General features: G+C 43.0%; 1 annotated feature.

Annotated features, from left to right (window-relative positions):
• Positions 10,529-10,823: a silencer, noted in NCBI's record as "tiled region #4704; K562 Repressive DNase matched - State 5:Enh". NCBI's record gives its function as "represses a minimal TATA promoter and a strong SV40 promoter by Sharpr-MPRA in K562 cells {active_cell/tissue: K562}" and the evidence as "EXISTENCE:reporter gene assay evidence [ECO:0000049][PMID:27701403]".

Genomic DNA, 10,823 nt, shown 5'->3' on the forward strand with positions numbered 1-10,823 from the left:
CTGAGGAAGGGAGTGGTGAAGCAGGACTGGCAAACACATGTTTCTACTAAGGAACACTTCTGATGTTAAGAGTTATTTTTTTTCCAAACGAGAGCAGCCAATTTGTCAGAATATATGAGTATTTATGAGATCCTGGGGTCCATGCAGGACTTTGAAGGACCATCAAGCACATAGCCTGTTTATGTGCCCAAGCCAGGGAGCTATTGTTTTCTAAGAATATCCCCAGCCTCCTCTGAGAAGATTGTCCACTTCTAACTCCTTACAAACAAGGCATTCTTCTTTCTTTCCAGGGTGACATTAGAAATATTTGATGACTGGCATGCCACAGGCATGGACTAATCAAAAGAACAGCTGTAAAGAGCACAGAAGACCAAACTGGTCCATGCCACTGATCATCAGTCTAGTGTCTCCTGAACTCAAGTAGGGCATTGAAAGCCCATTCCTTCTAATCTGCACAATGAATGTCTAGAATGGCTTCTCTTTCCTTGGGAGAAGTACTGGGGTCTTCTTTCCTGAGTTTCACAGACTCAGAGCTTTGTCAGTGACTTCAGAATTTAGTGTGGGAACAGTCGGATGGATCTAGCCTTCTGAACAGGGCTGCAGTTATGCCATGCAGTCTACTACTTTCTCCTGCCTGTTGGACTCTGGAGCCAGACTGCTTGAGTTTGAAACCCAGCTCTGTGACCTTGATCAGTTTACCCTTTCTGAGCCTATCTTTCATGTGTAAATGGGAGCTAATAGTAGACCTGTGATATGGTTTGGCTGTGTCCCCACCAAATCTCGTCTTGAATTGTAGCTCCCACAATTCCCATGTGTTGTGGGAGGGACCCAGTGGGAGTAATTGAATCATGGGGGTGGGTCTTTCCCATGCTATTCTTGTGATAGTGAATAAGTCTCATCAGATCTGATTGTTTTATAAAGGGGAGTTTCCCTGCACAAGCTCTCTTCTCTTGTCTGCTGCCATGTGAGACCTGCCTTTCACCTTCCTCCATGATTGTGAAACCTCCCCAGCCACGTGGAACTGTGAATCCATTAAACCTCTTTCTTTTATAAATTGCCCAGTCTCAGGTATGTCTTTATCAGCAGCATGAAAACAGACTAATACAGCCTACCTCATAAATGTTGTAAGAATTAAATAAATTAAAGCTTACAAAGTACTTAGTCTTATGCCTTATTAATAGTTAGCACTCAATAAATGCTAGATGTTCTTACTAATATTATTAATATTTATCTTCTAAAAACATCCAGGGCAGAGTGTCCTAGAACCAAAGAACTGGGTTCCTTGAGAAGATCAGTGTTGAAAGATTCTTTGGAAACCAATGGATCTAATCCTTTCCTTGAATAGAAGGGGCACTGAAGCTCTCACTTGCCTGAGACCACATAGCCAGTTAATGGAGCATCTTGACTGTGATCCAGCCTGCTGCAGTGAAGGCAGCCTGTGTGCATACAGTAGCCTAGTCAGTACCTGTAGGGGTGGCGTCAGAGGCCTGAGAGGCCTGATAATGGAACCTGCCTCACCATTGGCTGTGCATTGCATCCAGCCACCCTGGCACTCCCTGCCACCCTTGGGGGAATGAGGAGGGAAGGCCAGGTGGGGAGTGCAAGACCCCAGAGTAAAGAGTCAGAGATCCTGGCTTCTCACCCTAATCTTGCTTTATGCCAGCCTCCTCCTGATGGGAGTAACAGGCATTTCTGACCACCTTTATTCAGCTCAAAGTATTTTCATATACCCTATCTTTTTGCTTAATCTTCACTCTTCCTGTGTGATAGGTGTTATTAGTCCATTTAAAAATGAGACAGAGGATGAGTGATTGGTACTTAATCCATTTTTTAAAAAATCTTTTCTTATGAAAATTTTCAGACATGTATAAAAGAAAAGAAAATAAGACCATAAATTTCCATTTATCCATTCACAGCTTCAATAATTATTTACAGATGGCCATTCTGGTTTCACCTATACTCCCCTCCCTCACTCTTTCTCTTCCACTATAGAGCAAATTCCAGACATCATATGACTTCATCCATAAATATGTCTGTAAATGATAAAAACTCTCTTTTTTTTTTTGAGACGGAGTCTCGCACTGTCGCAGGTGCTGGTGTGTAGCAGCACAATCTCAGCTCACTGCAACCTCCGCCTCCCAGTTCAAGCGATTCTCCTGCCTCAGCCTCCCAAGTAGCTAGGATTACAGGCACCTGCCACCATGCCAAGCTAATTTTTGGTATTTTTAGTAGAGATGGGGTTTCACTATGTTGGCCAGGCTGGTCTTGAACTCCTGACCTGGTGATCCGCCCACCTCTCCCTCCCAAAGTTCTGAGATTACAGGAGTGAGCCACCGTGCCCGGCCAAGAACTCTTTTTTTAAAGATAACCACAACTGGCTGGGCACAGTGGCTCACGCCTGTAATCCCAGCACTTTGAAAGGCCGAGGCAGGTGGATCACGTGAGGTCAGGAGTTGGAGACCAGCCTGGCCAACATGACGAAACCCCATCTCTACTAAAAATACAAAAATTAGCTGGGTGTGGTGACAGGTGCCTGTAATCCCAGCTACTTGGGAGGCTAAGGCAAGAGAATCACTTGAGCCTGGGAGGCAGAGGTTGCAGTGAGCTGAAATCATGCCACTGCACTGCAGCCTGGGAAACAGAGTGAGACTCTGTCTGAAAAAAAAAAGAAAAAAAAGATAACCACAGTACTATAAATTTTTTATATCAAGATGTAGCTGCTCCTTTTTTATGGTTCTTACATAATATCTTAATTGTTTTCCTAGAATAGTAGTAATTATTATTTTCACTTAACATAGTATCATAAACATTTCCTATGTCATTAAATGTTCTTCTAAAATGTAATATTTAAGCATGCATGATATTAATAAATCAATTAATTTATGGAGCCGATCATTATTTTAGATATTTATGTTATTTCCACATTTTTAACATTAAAAAGTGCTTCAAATAAATGTCTGTGATAGACAGCTCAGTGTCTTCAAATATCCATTCTCCTCTTATTCTTTGGAATGAGACCCCAATTTTACTTGGTGTGACAAAAGATAAGCTAAAAAAATTTCATTTCCCAGCTTCTTTTGCAATGTACTGAGGCCAGGTGAATACATCAGCCAGTGAAAACTAAGTAGAAATGTAAGTGGGACCTCAAGAAAGGCTGTTCAGAGATAACTGACTCAGCCAGGAAGTGCTCTGTTTTTGCCCTCCCCTTCCTCTTTCTACTGCTGGGAATGCACGCAGAGTGGCTAGGGGTCCAGTGCCATCTTGAACCATTCAAATGGAAACCACACTTCCATTCTGCACATTCCACTTTCTTCTGCTCAAGGTGATTGAGCAAAGGAAAGAAAGAGCTTGGATCTCTGATGTCCCCAGAGTCAGGATGTTTACCCCTGGACCTCCTTTATGTGACAAAGCAATAGATCAATAGATGTCTCTCTTACTTAAGCCTCTGTTACCGGAATTTTCCTTGGTATGCAACTGAATCTACTTCTAATGGAATCTTTGCACATGTGCATGATTATTGTATGTAGCACTTCAAATTATTACCTTGTATTATAGATATTTATGTTCCTATCTCACCCGTCTTATTGATCTGTAAGTTCCTTGAGGACAGGGTATTTTTGTTTGTTTGTTTGTTTAATATTTTATCTTCTTATCCCACATAACACCTATCTAAGTTCCTGGCACAAAATATAGGTTTAAAAACATTTTTTTAAAAAAATGAATGAGCACATAAATGTGGGAATGTGTGACCTTGAGCAATTGATTTTACTTAGCCAAGACTCGGCATTCTTAATTTCAAAAGAAGGTACAAATTCCTACTACAGGTGCTTTTGAGAAAACTCAGTAACCTGTTATTGAAAGATCCATGAAAACTATACAAAATAAAGGTTTATCGTGAAGGAGGACAGGAGAGCCGAGTGATGAGAAGGTCTCGAGATTGGGAACACGCGGGTCTTCACAAGGGACAGCAGGAATGTCGTGGAGCTGGGGTAGAGTCATTGAGTGGAAGAGGAGCAGCATGAGGTTGGAGAGGGGTCTTGCAGGTGATGGTGAAGATTTTTCTTTTTGAAACAGGGTCTCACTCTATCACCCAGGCTGGAGTGCAGTGGTGTGATCTTGGCTCACTGCAGCCTCAACCTTCCAAGCTTAAGTGATCCTCCCACCTCAGCCTCCAGAGTAGCTGGGACTATAGGCACATACCAATATTCCCAGCTAATTTTTGTATTTCTTGTAGAGATGGGGTTTCACCATGTTGCCCAGGGTGGTCTTGAACTCCTGAGCTCAAGCAATCTGCCTGCCTCGGCCTCCCAAAGTGCTGGGATGACAGGCGTGAGCTACCGTGCTCAGCCTATGGTGAAGATTTCTAAATGTGATTTGTGTCTCAAAATGCATGGCCCTCACAATGTTATGAGAGGGTTACATGACAGTGCTTACCACAGTGCCTGCCATAAGATAAGCATTTAATACATGGTAATTGTCATTATTGTTGTTGTTTTTACTGACAGGGTGGTATAGTTGGAAGAGAATGGAACCAGAAGTCAGAAAAATAGGGTTCCACTCTTGGTGCTGGAAGTTTCCAATCTCACTAGCCAAGTGAAGATGTGGAAAACACAAGCCCAAGGAAGTGACTGCCAAACTTATGAAAGCCTCAGAACCGTTTGCTCAAATGGAATATTTCATGAGAAGTCAAACATGTCAAATGGATGCAAGTGGCGTGACTGTGGTAGGGGAGTGGGTGGGAGTCTTGAACACCATTGCTGCCGCTCAGCTGTCTCTTCCTTTCCACAGTGGCCCCTCAGGGGGCTTCTCAAGGCACTATTTAAAAACCGCTAGACATATGCTGAAGGCCATTAGTCATTAGGGAAATGCAAATCAAAACCACAATGATGCAGAGCACAGACGATTTTTAAGGCAGTGAAACTATTCTGTATGATACTACAATGATGGATACAAGTTATTGTATATTTGTCAAAACTCACAGAATATCCCACACCAAGACTGAACCTGAATGTAAACTATAGGCTTTGGTTGATTATGCTGTGTCAATGTAGGTTCATCAAGTGCAACAAATGTACCACTTTTGGTGCATATGTCAACAGTGGAGAGGTTGTGCATGTGTGGGGACGGGGTATTTGGGAACTCTCTGTACTTTCCACACAATTTTTATGTAAAACTAAAACTGCTCTAAAAAAATTAAGTTTACCAATTAAAAAAAGCACAATATGTTCTCTCACTCATAAGTGGGTGTTGAACAATGAGAACACATGGACACAGGGAGGGGAACATCACACACGGGGGCCTGGCGGGGCGTGGGGGGCAAGGGAAGGGAGAGCATTAGGAGAAATACCTAATGTAGATGATGGGTTGATGGGTGCAGCAAACCACCATGGCACGTGTATACCTATGTAACAAACCTGCACGTTCTGCAATGTATCCCAGAACTTAAAGTATAAAATAAAATAAAATAAAAAACTTAAAAAAGCATTAAAAAAACACACAATAAGATACCAATTCATACTCACTAGGGTAGCTATAATTAACACTTAAAAAAACAAAACAAGAAATAGAAACCAAAGAGTTAGCAAAGATGTGATGAAATTGGTTGAACCCCCCATGCATTGCTGGTGGAAATGTAAAATGGTTCAGTCACTCAGGAAAACAGATTGGCCTGGCCAGTCCTCAAACAGTTAAACATAGAATTAACATATGACCCACTCAGTCTACTAGCAGGTATATGCCCCAAAGAAGTTAAAACAGGTATTCAAACAAAACTTGTACACCAGTGTTCATAGCATCACTATTCACAATAGCCCAAAGGTAGAAACAATCTGAATGTCCATCCACAGATGAATAAACAAAATGTGGTATGTCCGTAAAATGAAATATTATTCCTCAATAAAAAGGAATAAAGTACTGATAGGTGCCACGGCATGGATGAACCTTGAAAACATTATGCTAAGTCTCACAAGCCAGAGACAAAATGTCACATACCGCATGATTCCATTTATATGAAATATCTAGAACAGGCAAATCCACAGAGACAGAAAGCAGATTAATGGTTAGCAAGAGCTAGAGGAATGAACAGACAAGGTGTAAATGTGGCATAAACAGGGGTGGGTACTGATGGTGCCATAATGGAAGGCCCTGGAAATTCACCAGACTCCATCACTGGGAGTAACGAAGACAATTATATCGCTGGAGGATTAAGTTGTGAGCTATTTCTAGTCAAATCCAAAGGGTTGGGCTCTTTGTTGCCAACAAAGGTTAAAACAAGACACCATCCAGGGATCCAAGGGATAGGGAAGGACCGGTTGAGAACTCTAGACCTGTGCTGTCTAATACGGTGGTCACTAGCCACATGTAGCCATGAAGCACTTAAGATGTGGCTAGTCTGAATTGAGATATGCTATAGTGTAAAATACACATCAGACTTTGGAGACCGAATATGAAAAAAAGAATGCAAAATAGCTCATTTACCATTTTATATTGATTGTGTACTGAAATAATATTTTAGATGTATCGAGTCAAATAAATATATGGTTAAAACTAATCCTGCCTGTTTCTTTTTACTTTTTTACTTGGCTACTAGAAGTTTTTATATTGCATGTGTAACTCACATTATATTTCTGTTGGACAGCATTGCTTACTGAATCATTGCTCCTCCAGGGCAGAGGTGGTGCTATCCAGGGGCTTTAGAGGCAGAGACCACCCAGCCTAAAGCACCATGTGGGTATTAAAGCTTCCCAAATGGTAGCTGGGAAAATGTGGGCATATCTTGTCCCAACACAGCACAACCCACAGAATCTATTAAGCAAATCAAATTTTGCTTGTGTCCTGGATACAAACACAGTTGAATCCAAAACTTAAAGTCTTTTAAAGCAACTCAATTTTCTCAAAAAGACCCTATGTCCATAAAAATAGCGTCAGTGGAGGGGTGAGTCCCCACCATGCCCCTCCCTGACCCCCTAGTATGTCTCCCAGAGTCCCAGAAAGGGTAAATGGAATAGAATTTTCAAAACACTTGAAAACAGCCAGAAAAACCATGCAATGTTTCTTCTGTGGCAGAGTAAAGATTGCGCATTTTTTAACAGGATAGAAAATAAAAACAAAGATCCATACAGCCAGTCCCTCAAACCACCATTTTAGTCATAGTCTGCCTGAGCTTTTGGCTGGGCTACAAAATGAAATAAATCCCTTTATAATCCCTCACTCTGGCTCCAAAATATATTTTCACAAGCATCAGAGCAGACCCTTTGGGCATTTCTTCCTAGAAATGCTCATCTTTACTCCAACTCTTTTTTTCTGATCATATCCTTTTACAAAATAGTGAACTGAAATGATTCTTGTGCAGGTTATATCAGATGGGGATGGGGAGAGGCGAGATGTGGGCAGTGGTGCAAACAGAAATCAGCCTCACAAGCTCAACATCACTCCCAGACTCTCCATAATCCTCCCCAGATCACACACTTTGGTTGGTTTCTCCTTCCACCAAACACACTAAATTTCCCATTTTCTGCCTAGCTACATTCTCTTGTGTTGTTTATTTAATATTTGAGTTGTTACTTAACACTTCACACCGCTTGTAGGGTCTTTGAAGAGTATGATACTTTCCCTTAACCTCCACCCCTATACCTAGCTCAGTATGACTTCACAAAACACTCAATAAAAATTTGTTGAAAATTTGTTGAATGAAGTTGAATCTGATATTTGCCAACTGCGATAAAATAGAGAAAATCAATGTCAGCTTTTCCAGCTAGAAAGAGAAACAGGACAGCTATATAAAATGATCTGTAGGAAAAATTGCATCCAACACTTTACTTTCAGCTCTCCAAAGGAGGCTGTTATAACAATGGACTATAAATACTGGGTGAATGCTGTATCTGTAAAGAAGCAATTCTAACAGTGGGCTGGAAGAGCCAAGAAAATCCAGCTTCTTCTCCCTGTGTATATACACAGGTGCGCCGTGTGGAATGAAATCCACTTAACTCGATTTTATGGACAGTGATTCATGCAAACTCAGTTCTAAACTGCTCAGCACGGCTCAGTTAAATAAATTACAGCAAGAGTAAGCCAGCCAGCAGTAAGGCAGAAGACAGAAAATAAACTTGAGGTCGAGGATTGAAATTTTAGGAGTTCTCAATATGCCAGAATCATCTTTCTTCTGGGAGTTCTGAAGGGATCTTAGAGATCCTTCAAGGTCAAGGCCCTGATTTGACATATGGGGAAACTGAGGCCCAGAGGGAGAGGATTGACTATATGTCCAAAGTCACTTGGAGAGTAACAGACAGGGTCAGGGCTGCTGGATCCCAGGTCAGAGCATTTTTCCATCTTCTCGGGATCTTGAATGTCTTGTTCACTGTCACAATGCAAGGCACACTCAAGAAACCAATGGATGACTAAATCTACTAGGCTGGGATGGCCAGAGGCAGCCTGACAGAAGAGGAAGAAAGATCTGAGAAGCTTACCCTCTAGAAAGAAATGGGAATTCCTTCTGTGGGGATGGAATGTGTAGGGATGGAAGAACACTGCTCCAAACAGCCCTCCCTAGATCTCCAGCTTTCCAGTCCCCACCTGGGAGCGGCACAAGCAGCTCCATACTGTGGCCTCTTCAGTTGCTCTGTGACAGGCCTGCCACAGTTCTCCAGTCCCTCCCATTAGTGGCATCACCTAAGGGCCTCTGGAGCAATAGCATCACTGCCCAGGTGTGCTGATGCATCAGCAGGGAAGACCTGGCCTCACTAACCCCTCAGCACCCACTGGCGCTGAGCACACATTAGGACTTAAGTGACATTTTTGGGAGTGTTCTGTGAGATAACACTGCATCCTTATAATAAATTATCCATGCCTTTTTTCCCCCAGGCTAGCATGAGTTGTTTTTTTAATTTGCCATGAAAAGATTCTTACACAAAATAAAGGATCTTAGCAACTGGGAAAAATGGATAGATACATTTAAGATATGGCAGCCTTAAAACATGGCTGCAAATTCTTTAATAATTGTCTGCTCAAGAAATGAGGTCTACATCCCTCCCCCTTGAAACTGGGCAGGTTTGTGACTGTCTTAAAGAATAGAGTAAAAGAGATGTGAAGGAATATATGAGTTCCAAGGATAGGACATAAAAGGCCACATAGCATTCACCTTGCACTGCTAGAACACTCATTCTTGGAGCATCTTGACACCATATAACAAGTCTGGCCAGCTGCGGTGGCACAGGCCTATAATCCCAACACTTTGGGAGGCCAAGGTGGGCAGATCACTTGAGGTCAGGAGTTTGAGACCAGCCTGACCAACATGGTGAAACCCCGTCTCTACTAAAAATATAAAAATTAGCTGGGCGTGATGGCAGGCGCCTGTAATCCCAGCTACTAAGGAGGCAGGAGAATTGCTTGAACCCAGGAGGCAGAGGTTGCAGTGAGCCAAGATCATGCCACCGTACTCCAGCCTGGGCAACAGAGCAAGACTCTGTCTCAAAAAAAAAAAGTCTGACTACCCTGAGGCCACTATGCTGTGGACATCCTGCCAACAGTTCCAGCTGAGCCCAAGCCAGCCCAGGGACAGGGCACATGCGGAAGAAGAAGATTCCAGATGATTGCAGTCCCTGTTATTCAAGTCTTCCCAGTTGAAGCCCTAGACAGCTGAGAGCAGCGACAAGCCGTCGCACCATGTCTTCTCCAAATTCCTGACCTGCAGAACAGAAAAAAAAATGGTGCTTGTTTCATGTCACTAAGTTTGGGGCAATTTGTTACGTGGTAATAACATATAACTGAAACAGAAGAGTGTAAAGGAATAAGAAAAAGTCCAAGAGTATGGAACATTGTTTAGCTGGTGTGTACAGTGGGGGATAGTGGAATGCCGGTGCAGTCTGTAGGTTCCAGAGGCTGGGAGCCTAGGGGTGTTGGCAAAGGTGGCCTGTTGCAGAGAAACATTGCCTCTTTTGGTCTACACTCGGGCCAGCTCCGGGAGGAGGCCCTCATATAAGATGAGGAGGCTGACATAGGAAACAACCAGCCTGCCCTGGGAGTGTCCTTTCTCAGCCCCATGTCAGTCACAGAAGAGTCATAAGCATTAAGTGGCAAGGGAGCCACTGAAGTCTTTCAAATGCTCCCACCTGTGGAACCTGGACTCTGGGTTGCAGGGGACAGAAATCCAACTCAACTAGTGTAACCAGCACGCGAACAACACAACACGTAACTTGTGACCAAAATGAAACTTTATTTCTCTCAGCCCCTTTAAAGTTTATTTAGCAAGGGATGGTGACATCACACTATTCCTGAGTGGCCCAACAGCACAAGTCTGGCTGTTGAATAAAACTGTGTCCCCATATGCTCGTGGAGCATAAGTCTCACGTGCTTCCATAAACAGACACTTTCCAAAGTGGCAACATGACATTTCACTGTGCTGAAGCCAAGTTGTGCCCGAGTCTATCCAGCATTTCATGACCTACCAGGTTAGTAGTCCATGCATTGGACATAGCCACGGCAGTATGTATTATCTATCATCACAATCGTGCTGCGAAACAAATAACACAGCACTTCAGGAACATCTAACAGTTAACATTCTGCTCATGAGTCTGCAGGTCAGCGGGGCAGTTTCACTGGGCTTAAGAGTGGTCACATATGCATCTACAGTCAACTGTCAGTTTGCTTAGGGAGCTTGGCTGACCTTGGCTGCTCTGGGCTGTCTCACATATCTGGGGCCTTGACCTGGCTTTGCTCCTGATGTCTCATCCTCCACGACAGAAGCAAGAGACAGCTGGGCTTGGAGCTAGCACCATTGTCATTTACACCGCTTTCTATCGGCCAAGACAAATCACGAGGTCAGCTGG

Source organism: Homo sapiens, chromosome 11 (assembly GCF_000001405.40).
Source record: "Homo sapiens chromosome 11, GRCh38.p14 Primary Assembly".
Lineage (NCBI taxonomy): Eukaryota > Metazoa > Chordata > Mammalia > Primates > Hominidae > Homo > Homo sapiens.